Here is a 17,033-nt window from a genome sequence, read left to right on the forward strand (position 1 = left end):
GGACTTGCAATTCCCATACTTCAAACCAACAAACATTTACTAAATGCCTCTTAAGGCATTGTGCTAGGCATTAGGTTAGACGCTAGATATACAGTAGTGATTAAGAAAAAACAGATCTGAGGCCAGTCATGGTGGTTCACTCCTGTAATCCCAGCACTTTGGGAGGCTGAGGCAGGCGGATCACCTGAGGTCAGGAGTTCGAGACCAGCCTGGCCAACATAGTGAAACCCATCTCTACTAAAAATACAAAAATTAGCTGGGTGTGGTGACGCATGCCTGTAATCCCAGCTACTTGGGGGGCTGAAGCACAGGAATTGCTTGAACCCGGGAGGTGGAGGTTGCAGTGAACCGAGACTGCACCACTGCACTCCAGCCTGGGCATGATCTTGGCTCACTGCAACACTGCAACCAAAAAAAAAAAAAAAAAACGAGAAAAAACAGATCTGGCCTCTGGCCTCACGCATAGCTTACAGTCTAACTGGGCAGAAGATCAATGAACAAGTAATTACACAGCTGAAGAATTTTAAGAAATGAAAAGTACTTAAAAATTTTGTAGTAACATTTATTGACTGAATAAATGGAGAAAAATAAATTGAGAATTAAGCAGCTTTCCTCCAAGCCTCCAGGGCAACAAGGAACACTCCCTTATTTTCCCTTTCCTGCCTTCCTTCCTCATTGCTTTGGGTTCACATTGGTTCTTGTGCCTGTGAAAGAGGAGTTAGATAATTAATCAGCTAAAAATAAGGATTCACAGTTAATGCACTTGGAAAGGGATCGAAAAGGAACTTGGCAAGATAAAAATACAGTCTTGCACTGCATAATGTCATTTTGGTCAATGACAGACTGCCTATAGGATGGTGGTTCCATAAAATTAAAATGGAGCTAAAAAATTCCTATTCGCCTAGTGACATTGTAGGCATCATAACATTGGAGCAAAACACATTACTCACACGTGTGTGGTGATGCTGGTTGCAAACAAACCTATTGTGCTGCCAGTTGTAGAGCACATATGATTATGTGCAGCACATACAATGATGTGCGGTATATAATACTTTGATAATAATAATAAACTTACTGGTTTACGTATTTACTGTACTATATTTTTATCATTATATTAGAGTGTACTCCTTCTATTTATAAAAATAAAAAGTTAACTGAAAGATGGTCTTAGGCAGGCCTTTAGGAGGTACTCCAAAAGAAGGCACTATTATCACAGATGAGAGCTCCAGGTGTATTATTGACCCTGAAGACCTTTTAGTGGGACAGGATGCAGTGGTGGAAGATAGTGATATTGATGATCCTGCCCCTATGTAGGCCTAGGTAATGTGTGTTTTTGTGCTTAGTTTTTAACTAAAATGTAAAAAAGTTAAAAAAAAATGATAAAAGTAGAAAAAAAGCTTACAGAATAAAGATAAAAAAATAAAATATTTGTGAACAGCTGCAAAATGTATGTTTTAAGATATGTTATTACAGAAGAGTCACAATGTTAAAAAAATTGAATTTATAAAGTAGATAAGTTACAGTGAGCCAAGGTTAATTTATTATTAATGAAAGAAAAATATTTTAAAACAAATTTAGTGTAGTCTAAGTGTAGCGTTTGTAAAGTATACAATAGTGTACAGAAATGTCCTAGACTTTCACATTTATTCACTACTCACTCACCAACTTACCCACGGCAACTTCCAGTCCTGCAAGTTTCATTCATAATAAATGCCTTATATAGGTGTGTTATATGATATTTTATTTTTACTGTATTTTCCTATTTTACAGTTTTCCTATGTTTAGATACACAAACATTTACCATTGTGTTACAATTGCCTGCAGTATTCAATATACTAACATGCTGTACAGGTTCATAACCTAGGAGCAATAGACTATACCTTATACCTGAGGTGTTAGCAGGCTATACCATCTAGTTCTGTGTAAGTTCCCTCTATGATGTTTGAATAACAGCAAAATTGCCCAAGGATGCATTTCTCAGACGGTATCCCCATCATTAAGCAATACATGACTGTAGTTACATTTTGGTGAAAAGCTTGTGGCTTACTTTCTTTTCCTTGATATTAACGTATTTGTTGTACAATATATTAAAATTGGGAATACAAAAGGTGTGTTTGTGTGTGTGTTAATCTTTTTAATCACTTTCTATGGGAAGCGAGATTGCATTTCATGTGCACGTGCCAATCTCTCACTGTTGCTCACTGGGAATGACTAATATCATTTTTCTTCCTTCTGGCCTAATGCAAACAAGCCACTGTGACATCCAATTTCTGATTTTTGGTCAATAGAAGGCTCAGATTTCTATTTTTGTATTGCCAAACAATTTGCAGCTTTAAATATTATTTTTGTTTAGTATTCACACATGATAATTTTTTTGGAGGTATCAGTCAAAGGCCAAAGCCTTTTCCACACAATACCACTGACCTTCCTTCAAAATCCATGGATGCAAAAGGACAGATAGTGGAGTGATAATTGGTGAAATAAAGAGGGAGTTGCTCCAGACAGGAGACGAAAGTTGCTGCTATTGAGACCAAGAAATGAAACCAAACTGTTTATCTATTACTGTATAAAAAGCTAACCCAAAAGGTAGTGGTTTAAAACAGCCATATTTTTGCCCATAATTCTCCAATTTGGGCAGAGCATGGTGGTGGCAGCTTATCCCTGCTGTGTGGTGCTGGACAGGGTGACTCACCTGGGCTGGAGAGTCTATGGTGACTTCACTCACACGTCTGGGGCTCCAATGGGGGTGGCTGGAATGTGAGGTATGGCTGGGCTTGTTTCTCTTTATACAGCCTCTCTGTGCATCATGGTCAATGAACTCTTTATCAAACAGCATCCTATTAAATCATTTGATTCTCACATTAATCTCTAAGGTTGTATCTTAAGAACTGAAAAAGAAACGGAGCCCTTTTACTTAGTCTTGTTTTCCCACTCAACCTGTATTTTTCTTGGAACTTATATGTATTTACATATTTCTGTATGCAATTTATTTACTTTAGTTTATTGTAGGTATTCTTATAAACTGTCCTAATTCTGCAGTACAGATACAAAGATAAATATGTGGTTTGTTACATAAATATGTTACTATTTATCTATCTTAAATCAGGCTCAGGGAGGTTTAGTGACTTGATCAAGGTTACATGCCTAACGCATGACAGAGCCTAACTTGGTACTCAGCTTTTCTGAACCTGTGAGAGCTAAATAATAAAATCCTAATCATATTATCTATTTTAGATTTTCTTAAACTCCTAGGTTATAGAAGGATCACATAATTATTAAACAGAGAAAAAAATTGAATATAGCAAATAATTTTTTTTTTTTTGAGACAGAGTCTTGCTCTGTCACCCAGGCTGGAGTGCAGTGGCACTATCTCGGCTCACTGCAACCTCCACCTCCCAGGTTCAAGCATTTCTCCTGCCTCAGCCTCCTGAGTAGCTGGGATTACAGGCACCTGTCACCACACTCGGCTAATTTTTTGTACTTTTAGTAGAGATGGAGTTTCACTATGTTAGCCAGGCTGGTCTTGAACTCCTGACCTCATGATCTGCCTGACTCAGCCTCCCAAAGTGTTGGGTTTACAGGCGTGAGCCACCACACCCGGCAGCAAATAGTTACATACCTTTTTAATTAGGTATAGTCACCATGTTGTACAATAGAGCTGTTGAACTTATTTTAACTAATTTGAACTTACCTAACTGAAATTTTGCGTCTTTTGATCAACATTTTCCTAAGCCCCCTACACTCTCTAGCCCCTGGTAACCACCATTCTACTCTCTACTTCTCTGAGTCCAACTTCTTTAGATTCCACATGTGAGATCATGTGGTATGTATCTTTCTGTGCCTGGCTTATTTCACTTAACATAATGTCTTTCAGGCTCATTCATGTTGTCACAAATGACACAATTTCCTTCCTTTTAAAGACCAAATAGTATTCCATTGTGTACATATACCACATTTTCTTTATTCATTCATTCATTGCTGGACACTTGGGTTGATTCCATATCTTGGCTGTTGTGAATAGTGCTTCAATGAATGTGGAAGTGCAGCTGTCTCTTCTATTGCACATACTGATTTCATTTCCTTCAGATATATACCCAGTAGTGAGATTGCTGAATCATATCATGGGTTCTATTTTCAATTTTTTGAGGAACCTCCATATTTTTTTTTCATAATGGATGTTCTAATTTACATTTCCACAAACAGTGTATAAGGGTTGCCTTTTTTCCACATCCTTGCCAACATGTTATCTTTCATCTTTGCAATAATAGCCATTCTGATAGCTGCGAGGTGATATCTCTCACTATGGTCTTAATTTGCATTTCTCTGTTGATTAGTGATCCTGAACATCTTTTTCATATACCTGTTGGCCACTTATGTGTCTTATTTTGAGAAATACCTATTCAAACCATCTACCCATTTTTGTATTAGATTGTTTTCTTACTATTGAGTTGTTTGAGTTTCTTATATATTTTGAATATTAACCTCTCATCAGATGTATAACAGATAATTTTACAAAGTAATATCTTATTTAAACTTCAGTTTACTTGAATTCCATTCAGTAAATACTTATTCAGCGATTACTCCATGCCAGGTGCTGATCTGTGTGCTTAGAACACATCTCTGAACAAAACAGATATTCCTGCCCTTGCAGAACTTACTTCCTAAAAGTGACATTTAGTAAACAAAACAACCAAATCATTTTACTGTGGGAAGAAGAATTTGCTAATGTTGTTGTGCAGAGATTGAGCAGGAACTTATAGTGATGATTTCATGGTATTATGAAATGATTTCATGGTTTTTTTGTTTGTTTGTTTGTTTGTTTGTTTTTTGAGACGGAGTCTCGCTCTGTCTCCCAGGCTGGAGTGCAGTGGTGCGATCTCGGCTCACTGCAAGATCGGACTCCCGGGTTCACGCCATTCTCCTGCCTCAGCCTCCCGAGTAGCTGGGACTACAGGCGCCCGCCACCACGCCCGGCTAGTTTTTTGTATTTTTTTAGTAGAGATGGGGTTTCACCATATTGGCCAGGCTGGTCTCGAACTCCTGACCTTGTGATCCGCTCGCCTCAGCCTCCCAAAGAGCTGGGATTAGAGGCGTGAGCCACTGCGCCCTGCCGGTATTAGTTTTTAAAAATATTTTTGTTAAAGAAAAATTCAACTCTGCCAATCTCTACTTAATTGAGAAATCTGTGTGAGCTTTACCCTTGGCTATGTCTCTTTAAACCCTTGAACTTCTCTGTCAATGATTTTTATGCAGATTCACAATTAAAATTCTAAAGTGTTCTTCATGTCCCCACCACTACTCCTCTCCTCTTAGGCTGACCCTGAAAAGACAGACTTCCAATGCTTCATGCATGGCCCTTAATTTTATTCTTACTCTTCACAGTTGAACACAAATATCAGCTTAAGTCCAATAATAATCTATTTGAGATGTAGATCTGCCATTTAGGGGATATCTTTTATTATGTCACAATCACTTTTTTGTTATGGCTTTTCACATATTAGAAGGGCAAATGCGATTAGCTATTCAAATAATAGAACAAGCAAAAATTGCTGCATAAAGATAATGATGCCATCCGAATTGAACCTAGGAATCCTGGCCGAAGGCACCACTAGTTGAGAGTTCAAATTCATGCTCATTGGGTGATGTGTGGAAGCTGATATTAATTTAGTACTTTGAGTGTCAATGTGCAATGTATAAGATTTCACACATTAAAAAAATACAAATTTGAAGCAGGGCACAGTGGCTCACGCCTGTAATCCTAGCACTTTGGGAGGCCGAGGCAGGCGAATCACGAGGTCAGGAGTTCTAGACCAGCCTGACCAACATGGTGAAACCCCGTCTCTACTAAAATTACAAAACTTAGTTGGATGTGGTGGTGGGTGCCTGCAATCCCAGCTACTCAGGAGGCTGAGGCAGGAGAATCATTTGAACTCAGGAGGCAGAGGTTGCAGTGAATCGATATTGTGCCACTGCACTCCAGCCTGGGCAATAGAGCGAGACTCCATCTCAAAAAAAAAAAAAAAAAAAAAAGATAAAAATTTCGAAATTTGAGAACCATCTTTATGAGAACAGCTCCTGATCCTGAAGTTCTTACAATTCAGCTCTGAAGGCCAGATAGATATTTTAAAATGTCAGGAAACAATAAGGCCACAAGGGGAAAAAACAAAGAAATGATACAAAATGATACAAGGACCAAACCGATGAATGGAGTAGGAAACAGGATATTTTGATGCAGATGATATAGTAGGTGCTTGATAACATTACCTCATTTAATCTTCATGACGATACAGTTTTACTAATTAGAATTTTGAATAACATGCAAGGGCCATTAAGGAAATTTCTTATGGACATATAGTTAGAAAGAAAAAAAACCAGTTTGCCTACCTTTAAAGCTCAAATGATGAACATTTAAATTGATTAACAATTCAAATTGCACTGAATTCAATTGAATTGAACATTTTCCAGGTCTTTCCAGTTTTTTCATAAGGCTTTGAAGATACCATGAAGGAATGTACCTGGAATTAGAACCACCAGATTTTGAACCCTGACTGTGCTACTTCCTACTGGTAACACTTTGCATCAGTCAGTTTCACATCTTCAAAATAGAAAGGACGATACCTACCACATATGCAGCCTATGGGTACATACTAGACATCTCTGTGAATGGGGTCAACAAAGTGCTTGGTTCACGGAATGCCCTGAGTAAAAACATGCAAGGTGAACAAGGCCCGATCGTTATTCCTTCTCTGTTTGAGGCTGGAAACAATGGAAAATCAACAGTCATCCCAGTCTGGTTCTTACAGGTTCAAGAAGAAGAGGAATAGTTATCCTAGTCTGGTTCACAGGCTCAAGAGATGCTTGAAACAGCTTTCTAAATGAGGTTTGGGAGTTCTTGTGGATTGCAATTACCCATCTTACTGCTGGACCTCATTAGCACATGTAATTGGAAACTGGCTCTGTATAATAAGGACAACAGGAGTCTCCAGCTCTGAGGCAATTACTGTGGTGTTACTCACTCTCCATCCCCTCATGAACACCCCAGCAGTTGCTCCTGAGACACAACCTCGGAAGCCAGGGAGAAAGAACCGAAATTCTCCCATTACTGTATTTCCTGTGGGAGTCTATGTGGGAGATTTTTGTTTCACACCATGTATTTGTGACATATGGATAAACAATGGCAACATAAAAGATCTTACAGAAATCTTCAATATTGGTTTCCTCAGAACACACATTCTTAATGGGGGACAATGTTGCCGCCACGGAGGTGAAAGTTGGTTATTAGGAAGGTTAAAAAAAATCTTAAATATAAAAATGTTTTGTGGCCCCTCATCATACGTAAACAGATATAAGGCATATATGTGGTATTAAAATTTCGTGGGGAGGGAATGATCAGAAAAGATCTAAAAAGTCTACTTAATAGGCAGAGAGTAGGGATAAAAGCGGGGAAAAAGGTTGAGATAACATGGCCTTAGAAAGAGTGTGAAGTTCTCCAGATCAGTTTTTGGCTCCAGAAAAGAGGCAGAAGATAGCTATTCTTGCTGCTCCATTCTCTGTTACAGATGGTTCTGGTTCATTATGACAATGATTAAAGGGGAGAGTTCTGAAGACAGGCTGCTTGTTTTGAAGCCCAGTTCAGTCAGATAGATCTGTATCATCTTGAGCTGGTTAATTAATGTCTCAATGCCTCATTTTTTTTCATCTGCAAAATGACTAGTGTAATATTGAACACTTCATGTTGTTGTGAGGGATGTAGGACTAAGTGTACATTTTCAAAAAGATAGGAGCAGAAGACATTCTGCCTTTGTGAAAGAGCTCTGGTTCCCTTTAATCCACATTCTCTAGGTGATCAAATCCTTGCAACATAGTTAAAAAAAAAAAACAAAAAACTTTGGGCAGGGTGCGGGGGCTCATGATTGTAATCTCAGCACTTTGGGAGGCCCAGGTGGTAGGATCACTTGAGGTCAGGAGTTTGAGCCTGGCCAACATGGTGAAACCCCGATTCTACTAAAGAAATACAAAGATTAGCTGGGCATGGTGGTGCACATCTGTATTTCCAGCTACTCAGGAGGCTGAGGCAGAAGAATCACTTGAACCTGGGAGGTGGAGGCTACAGTGAGCCAAGATCGCACCAATGCACTCCAGCCTGGGCGACAGAGTGAGATTCCATCTTAAACAACAACAACAACAATGACAAAAAAAAAAAAAATTGACAATTTTCAGAAATAGAAATATAGAGTAGCTAGAAATAGAATATATGGTTGGGGCGGCAGCTCACTCCTGTAATTCCAGCATCTGGGGACGCTAAGGTGATCCCAGCCTCAAGGAATCCCTTGAGTCCAGGGGTTCGAGGTTATAGTGAGATATAATCACACCACTGCACTCTAGTTGGTGACAGAGCAAGACCCTGTCTCTTATGAACAACAACAAAAAATACAGAATATAGAAAAGAACAGACGTAGTATATATTTCCATAACATGAAGGGTTCATTCATGTTAGTATTTTGTCATATGTATGCTCTATCTTTATTGTATAAAATTTAAAATTATGCAAGTTATATATATATATATTTACACACACACACACACACACACACACACTCCCTTTGTTCCTTCTATACTCCCAGTCCTACCATAATGAAGCACAGTTTTTGAAAGTGCCGACTGACTGCCTGGTATGATTTACTGAGTGATGTTCTTTCTGAACGGGTAGACTGAGGGACCAGCCATCTCCAGATTCATAACTCTCTACCCAAACAAGGTAAATGTTTCATTCAGATGAAGGCCAAACTGACATTTTCTCCATTAATTGGAACAACATTTCTTATGCACCTATTATATGCCAGACATTTTTGAACTGGGAGCAAAACTGTAGCTCCAGGCCTAGACATTAGTTTTTCAAAATGAAAATCCAGGTAGCTGGAGTGAGTTAAGTCAGTCTTCATACTTGAGGTGACGTTCCAGATATGTCTCACAAATGCTAATGGATAACTCACTTCTATTAAAAACAAATCCTAAAAGCGAGGTGTGATGACATGCACCTGTAGTTCCAGCTACTCAGGAGGCTGATGTGGGAGGATCACTTGAGCCCAGGAGTTCCATGTCAGCTTGGATGACATAACAAAAGCCTGTTTCTAATAAAATAAAATAAACCCCAAATCTCATGGTGGCATTGGAATTATTTGCAGACAACTCAGTCCTTTTGGCTTTCAAAGTAGGTCTCAGCAAAGGAAGACGCAAGCTACTGGTTTAGGATTAAACCTGGGGAATCAGACTGGTCTGGACACTTGGTTTGCCAAGAGGCCTGGTAGTGGAGAATTCTGTGACTGGCAAATGCCTAGGAGGCAAAGGAGTGAAAGTCTTGAGTTCTGAGAGAGACAACCTTTGGGTTCCTTAGGCACTAGGCAGTGGCCCAAGGCACTGGGATCTTATGTAAATGGCAGAGCGCCCCAGGAGCTTCAGGTATGCTTATCTGCTCATCTAATGGAGCCAAGGAGACAATCTGTTTAGATAACAGGTTGCAAGAGATAATGGACTCTGCTGGGAATGGCATGTTCCCTCCTGGGGGGTAACCCTTAGATCTTGGAATTTGGCTGAGAGAAGGAGGCAATGCATGGTGCTCCTGCAGAGGTCTGAAAAACAGCTGTGGAGTGCCTCACATGGTTTTCATCATGGCCTGAAAGTGTTCTCTCTCTCCATTGCCCGCCCCACCCCCCAACCCATTTACTCTAAAAGTAAAAATAAATATGTTAAATATTTTGGAACCACCCACTAAATAGTAATTATAGATGGTAGTAACTAATTACACTATTATCTATCACTTTTTAAGTGCTTCTGGATGGCCAGACCCAGTGTCAGGCTGCTCTCATGACCCTGAGAATCCAGAGGAGGGGTCTCCATGTGACACATAAGACTTGCACAGGTAGAGAACTTCATTCTTTCATTCACTTGCCCACTATTCGGGAAATGTTTATTGAGCCTTTTCTATATTCTAAGAAACTGTGCTGGTGCCTCAAAGAGTTCATAATTTCCCACAACAAACAAGGGGAAGTGATATAACTAAAAGTTACTTTGATTTTATTTTATTGAAATTGGTGGAGAAGGATGGCCTCTATACCAGAGAGGAAATGCTGCGGCACTGGGTTTTTAGCACAAGTCAAAAGAAAAAAATCTCCTTAAACAAACTCTGGGGTGGAAGGAGGTGGGATGGGGAATATATGGAGCTAAATGTATTTTTGGAACCTGCAAAGAAGAAAAAAAACAAAACCAAAAAGCCCAACTTAGTACTTCTTTTTCCAGGGTTCTTTCCTTGGTCTGTTTCCTAGCATCTTGTGCTAGCCTCTATCTTAGAACAGTATTTGTAAAATACTTACTTGTCTGTTTCCAACAAACTGCAAACAGATTATAGTCAGACTCCTTGCAGGTAGAGGATATTTTATTTAACTTTTTTTCTCTAGTACCTGAAGCATTTTAAAAAGCTCTTTTAATTTGAATGAAATGAAAAGATGACTGACTGAATGAATAAATGGATGGATGAATAGATGGTTGGAAATCTCTTTTAATTTAAATAAAATGAACGGATGACTGACTGAATGAATACATGAGTGGAAGCATGGATAGATGGATGGATGAATGGATGGATGGATGGATGGATGGATGTATGGATGGATGGATAGATGGATGGATTTCTCTTAGGTGATTCTCCTGTACACATAAGCAGAGACATACAGATTCACACGGAGAACAAAATCACACAGATTTATATATATTCCCAGAGAAACACACATATAAAGACATTGTTCTCATTACCAAAGCCCTCCTTTCTCTTGGCCTAGCCATCTTATGTGGCCACTTCACCCATCCCCATTCATCTTCTAAGCTCAATTCTATCAGCTAAGCCCCCTCCACCACCACCACCACCACCATTCTAACCTCCCTCTCTCAGCTGACACAGGTAACAGTGAGCTGACAAGTTGATCTAACAGTATGCCTAGAACACCAGGGGAGCTTCCAGAAGTCCTGGCTTTTTGGCTCTCTACGGCTCTGGAAGGGATTTGTCCCACCTATGTTGTTCTTATTTGGGGCAATTTTAACCTGGGCAGGAGAAAGGGAGGCAGGCTCCTGGAAGTGATATTCAGATAGGATGAAGATGTGAAGACCACTGAGTTTCCTCAAAGTACAGACCCCTGTTAGGTGTGAAGGAAGCAGAGAGGAACTAACTTTATGGAGTGTCTTTGATGTCCCAAACATTCTGCTAGATGTTTAAGTGAGATGGCTCATCTAATCACCATGAAAATGAAAGTTTCCACAGAGGTGCTATTATTCTCATTTTGCAAATGAGGAAGCTGAGGCTGAGAATGAAAAGGGACTTGGCCAAAGCTAATAGCTAAGAAGTGACTGCCACCGGCTTAGGAACTATTCAGATTCCTGATGCTGAGGCCAACAGACATATTTCATTTCTTCCTTCCAGGCCATATTCTTTCACTGAATATTTACCAAGTGTCTATTAGATATACAAAGTACTGGAAGCCCAAACGTGGGATAGAACCAGTCTTTGTCTTTAAAACATGTATATTAGGCTAGGCACGGTGGCTCACGCCTGTAATCTTAGCACTTTGAGAGGCCAAAGAGGGAAGATCATTTGAGGTCAGGAGTTCAAGACCAGCCTGGCCAACGTGGTGAAACCCTGTCTCTACTAAAAATACAAAAATTAGCCAGGCATGGTGGTGGGTGCCGGTAATCCCAGCTACTCAGAGGCTGAGGCAGGAGAATTGCTTGAGCTCAGGAGGCAGAGGTTGCAGTGAGCCAAGATTTTACCACTGCACTCCAGCCTGAGCGACAGAATGAGACTCTGTCTCAAAAAAAAAAAAAAAGAAAGAAAAAAGTAGGCCGGGAGCGGTGGCTCACATCTGTAATCCCAGCACTTTGGGAGGCCGAGGTGGGTGGATCACAAGGTCAGGAGATCGAGACCATCCTGGCCAACATGGTGAAACTCCATCTCTACTAAAAATACAAAAAATTAGTTGGGCATGGTGGCGTGTGCTTGTAATCCCAGCTACTCGGGAGACTGAGGCGGGAGAATCGCTTGAACCAGGGAGTCGGAGGTTGCAGCTAGCCAAGATCATGCCACGGCATTCCAGCCTGGCAACAGAACAAGACTTTGTTTAAATATATATATATATATATATATATATATATATATATATGAATATGACAGAGGAAACAAATGGTACATTATTGTAAGATATATGAGAGAAATGCTCTAAAAGAGATATCAGCAAATTTCTTAGAAGGTTGGAAGAAGGACAGAACACTTCCTATTGAAGGAAAAATGCAGCATTGAGCTGGGTCTTGAAGGGTGAGTCTTATTTTCCCAGAAGGAGATGATGCTGTTGGAGAGAAAAAAGCTTTTTCTCTACCCTCTTATGGTTAGTGCTTGAGGGTCTGCATATTAAACTGACAAAAGACAGATTAGCAAGGCAAAAGACAGATTTTTGTTCACATATATCAAATGTATGTTGGCATTCATAACCACTCAAGGAGGCAGTTGTTAATAGAATTTGGAGCGTGTATACTATCTTAACAGGAGAAGAAGGGTACTTACAGGAAAACAAATGTTTTTTAGGAAAGATAAATGGGCCCTTAGGAGTGTTGGGGCTCAGAATCTGATACCCCAAAGTATGGCACCTTGGCATGCTGAGTACTTTGAACTGAAGGACATTGGAAGGACCTCAGAAACAGGGTTTCTCTGACCTCTTCCTACCCTCCTATCTCCTGTCTCTTTTTCTTCGCCTAAGTAAATGAGTCATAGAAACCAGAACTCCTCTTCCCCAAGGTGGGTCATAGAAACCAGAACTCCTCTTCCTCCAAGCATGCCATAAAACCTAGGAAGTCCACTCTTCTCCTTCTGTCTTGAAGAATCTCATTCCAGAGGAGTCCAGCCTCATACCCAGGAGGAAGGAATGTTACATAGGGAGGCCGAGAAGAATCTGAACAGAAAGGCAGGCCTGGCTGGGTTTCTCCTGTCAGTCTGTTAGCATTAGATCATACCTTTTTGTCTAATCACATTTCTATATGGCTGTCAGTTCTTCATCAAACCTAAGCATAAAAACAGACAATTTTCCCTGGGTCTTTGGCTCTTTATTTCTCAAGGCTCCCATGTCACATAAAACTTTGGTTAAATACATTTGTCATGCTTTTCTCTTGTTCTCTTGCCTTTTGTTATAGGAGTGTTGGCCATGATCCTTATGATGGGTAAGAAAAGTTATTACACCTTTCCTCTTCTACAGGAGGGTAGATGGGAGACACCATAGTTTTGTGACAATGTCTGTTTGTTTGGGTAGGAAGCTGATAAGAGAGTCAGTCTTCCCTCGTTGCTACCAAAGAGGGGATTTACAATGACAGTTTTGTTATCTTGACTTCTAATAGGAGGCTGTGCTCTTAGGCAGATAATGAAGGAAAAAAAGCACATTCTCAAATGTTTTTAACTCAAAACAACTTTTATGCTACAATAAAATATTTTAGACCCCCTTAATACAGAGAAAGGCAAAAATGTCTGAATACTTATTACTAATAAGTAATACTTAATACTTTGTGAACATTATGCCAGGAATATCTCTTACCTTATATGAAGCAGGATGTTTTGACAGGGCTCTTTTGACTCCCTGGCATTTAGAAATCCAAAAAAGCAACCATTACGTTTATAGCTCCTTCTTTGTCCAGTCATTATCATCGTCATCATTATCATCATTGTAGGGAAAGAAAGAGGGTGATCTCTTTCCTCCACATCATAAGCTGTCACCCTTATAATGAAAGGTTAACAAGAGAAAAGCATAATAAAATTATTTAATCCTGGCCAGGCGCGGTGGCCCAGCACTTTGGGAGGCCGAGGCGGGTGGATCACCTGAGGTCAGAAGTTCAAGACCAGCCTGGCTAACACGGTGAAACCCCATCTCTACTAAAAATACAAAAAATTAGCCGGGCATGGTGGCACAGTGCATGTAGTTCCAGCTACTCAAGAGGCTGAGGCAGGAGAATCACTTGAACCTGGGAGGCAGAGGTTGCAGTGAACCGAGATCACGCCACTGTACTCCAGCCTGGTGACAGAGTGAGACTTTGTCTCAATAATAATAATAATAATAATAAATAAAATAAAATAATTTAATTCTAATTTTACATGACACAGGAGACTTCAGAATGAAGACCAAAAGAGAAAAGGAAAGCTGTTCATTTTTAATGCTTAGGTTATAAGAAGTGGGAACAGCTGGCTGGGCACGGTGGCTCACGCCTGTAATCCCAGCACTTTGGGAGGCTGAGGCAGGCAGATCACAAGGTAAGGAGATCGAGACCACAGAGAAACCCTGTCTCGACTAAAAATACAAAAAAAAAAAAAAAAATTAGCCAGGTGTGGTGGCGGGTACCTGTAGACACAGCTACTTGGGAGGCTGAGGCAGGAGAATGGCATGAACCTGGGAGGTGGAGCTTGCAGTAAGCTGAGATCGTGCCATTGCACTCCAGCCTGGGCGACAGAACGAGACCCTCCATCTCGGAAAAAAAAAAAAAAAAAAGAAGGGGGAACAGCTGTGTAGAAATGTGATTGGACAAAACATGTATGAACTAATGGCAATAGACTGAGTGGGGAAACCCAGCAAGGGCTATCGATTCAGGTTCTTCTTAGCCTTTCTGTGCAGCATTCATTCCTTCTGCATACAGGGCAGAATTCTTTCCGGCTGGGAGTCTTATGACCTACAATCTAACAAGAAGGGCTGGAGAGATTTTTTATGGCTAGTTCTTACCCAGAAAGGTGGGGAAAGGTTAGAGTAATATTTTTAGGTATTAAGGCTGGCTTTGAGGAAATGGGGTTTTTGTGTCTATGACCCGCCTTGGGGAAGAGGAATCTAGTTTCTATGGCTTACCTTGGGGAGAATGACAGAAGAGACACAGGAGGACAGGAGAAGGTCAGAGATGAACCTTCCTTCTGAGGCCTTTATTTTGGGGTATGATTTCTGAGCCCTAGTGACATCATCATCATCATTATCATCATCATCATCACCATCATCATTATCTCCTACTCACTCTTCCTTGAGCCTGAGGTCAGAGGTAAACTGTTTGAAGAATTGATATGAAGGTCAGCACTGGGGTGGCAAATGATAATTGACATATTAGTTGATTTTTATATTAAAAATCTAAAAGTTGATCTTTTTTGGAGGGTCACATGGAACTGCGAGTTGTGTCAGGGGAGTCTTTAGGAGTTAACACCATGGCGGAAGACACGGAGGCCAAATCAAGAACTACAGGACTGCCCCTTGTGGCAGCAACTTCCCCAGCCAGAACTAGACCAGAAACTACTGGTAGACCTACCTGGAATTCCACTGCTGCCAGAAGGCAATGACTGCTAAAGGGGGTTATGTCTTTGTGTGTGAATGGTACATGTGGACAAGACTCTCTGCCCTATATTATGGGTCTTAGCCTGGGACAAGTACCAGGCAGAAGGCATGTTTCCTGGGAAGATCTGAGCTTGCTCCACCCCACCTCTCTTCTGTCCTTTGTTCTTCTCCCAGGATGGTAAAGAGGGACCTGGGTACATAGTGATCCCTATCCTGGGACCCTGAATCATGACTTAACTAGCAATAACAACTCATTGGAAGCTGTGTGTGATGGCATGCACCTGCAGTCCCAGCTACTTGGGAGGCTGAGGCAGGAGGATGGCTTGAGCCCAGGAATTTGAGTCTGTAATGCACAATGATTATGCCTGTAAACAGCCACTGCCCTCCAGCCTGGGCAACATAGAGAGACCCTGTTTCTAAAACAAACAAACAACAACAACCAACAACAAAAATACTCATTGAAAATGTGTAAAAAAATATCCAAAAGTTTAGGCTTTTTTTTTTTAAGGTCATAGAATAGGAGTAAATGCTAAACGTCTCTGGCATTACAAATACTCATATACCTACCTTATAGGCCATGAGGAAATGTCTTTTTGTCTTCTAGAGGTTCTGACCTCAATGCAACATGTCCAGTAAGAATGACAGGGTCACTTGAAATAAAATTCTTAGAGGAATGAATCTCAGGTCTATAACCTGAATAGCTTTATTTAAAAAAAATACAAATAGGTGATTGGATATAAGAATGAATTTCTGAATTCTTACTTCCAGAAGCTGCGATCTTGGCCTGCAAATCTCAAGCTACAAAGTAGAATGATGAACTTTCTGAGAAGAAACACAGGTGTAGATTTAACTCTTGGAAAATGAGGGCAGAAACACATCAAAAGGGGACCCCTGGAGTGAGAAGCATTAAAGATGAATTCTTTCTAGAACTATAACAGCCTGGAATTTTGACACATTCTGCAACTGACACTCAGTGAGCCCTCACGGTATGGAAATAATACTTAAAAATTTTTTAATGTCTTAGACTTATTTGAGGAAAAGAAGGAAGGTGTAATTATTACAATAAAAGTTTTTTAAAGATTTAATAAACTCTAAATAACTTAGCCTAGTCAAAGTTCTGAAAATTATTGCTTCAAAAATTATAACCATGATAAATATGATTTTTGATAATATTTTTATGACTTCTGAGAAGTTCATAGGGATTTCATTTGAAACAATAATATCCACCACTTAGTATGTTCACTGATGACTTGTAAATTGGCAAGTCTAAAAAAAAGGCTAGTGTTTGAAAATAGGTTTTGCAAATTAATCTTTTTCCCAACATGAATTTGTAATGCAAGTCCTTTCTTGAAGTAGTGCAAAATGAAGAAAACAGATATTTTAAAAGAAAATGAAAATGTAAATGAAATACAATTATGCAGTAGGACCAATCACTGCTAGTCTCTAGGATGTATTTGTGGAAATTTGAAGAAAGCCCTTTTTCTTTAGGATGTATCTAGGATGTAACTAGTGACAGGGTTCAGGACATGACATCCTAAAATATAGCACCTTGGCATTTGAGAAAACAGCAGAAACAGGAAGCCCACCCTCACCTTTCTCTGGCCTTTCTCCCCTGAAGAAGGTTCTCTCTGTCTTTATTTCTTCTTCCCT

At 40.0% G+C, this 17,033-nt stretch overlaps 1 pseudogene, besides 2 other annotated features; it reads left to right on the forward strand.

The window, feature by feature from the left end:
- Window positions 9,230-9,857: an enhancer, noted in NCBI's record as "OCT4-NANOG hESC enhancer chr1:68742024-68742651 (GRCh37/hg19 assembly coordinates)". NCBI's record gives its function as "activates a minimal SCP1, AML or CMV promoter by ChIP-STARR-seq in naive and primed H9 embryonic stem cells {active_cell/tissue: H9 hESC(naive and primed)}" and the evidence as "EXISTENCE:reporter gene assay evidence [ECO:0000049][PMID:30033119]".
- Window positions 10,939-11,523: an enhancer, noted in NCBI's record as "NANOG hESC enhancer chr1:68743733-68744317 (GRCh37/hg19 assembly coordinates)". NCBI's record gives its function as "activates a minimal SCP1, AML or CMV promoter by ChIP-STARR-seq in primed H9 embryonic stem cells {active_cell/tissue: H9 hESC(primed)}" and the evidence as "EXISTENCE:reporter gene assay evidence [ECO:0000049][PMID:30033119]".
- Window positions 15,257-15,509, forward strand: COX6B1P7 (cytochrome c oxidase subunit 6B1 pseudogene 7; annotated as a pseudogene).

The sequence above is a fragment of the Homo sapiens genome, chromosome 1, assembly GCF_000001405.40.
Source record: "Homo sapiens chromosome 1, GRCh38.p14 Primary Assembly".
NCBI classification, from domain to species: domain Eukaryota; kingdom Metazoa; phylum Chordata; class Mammalia; order Primates; family Hominidae; genus Homo; species Homo sapiens.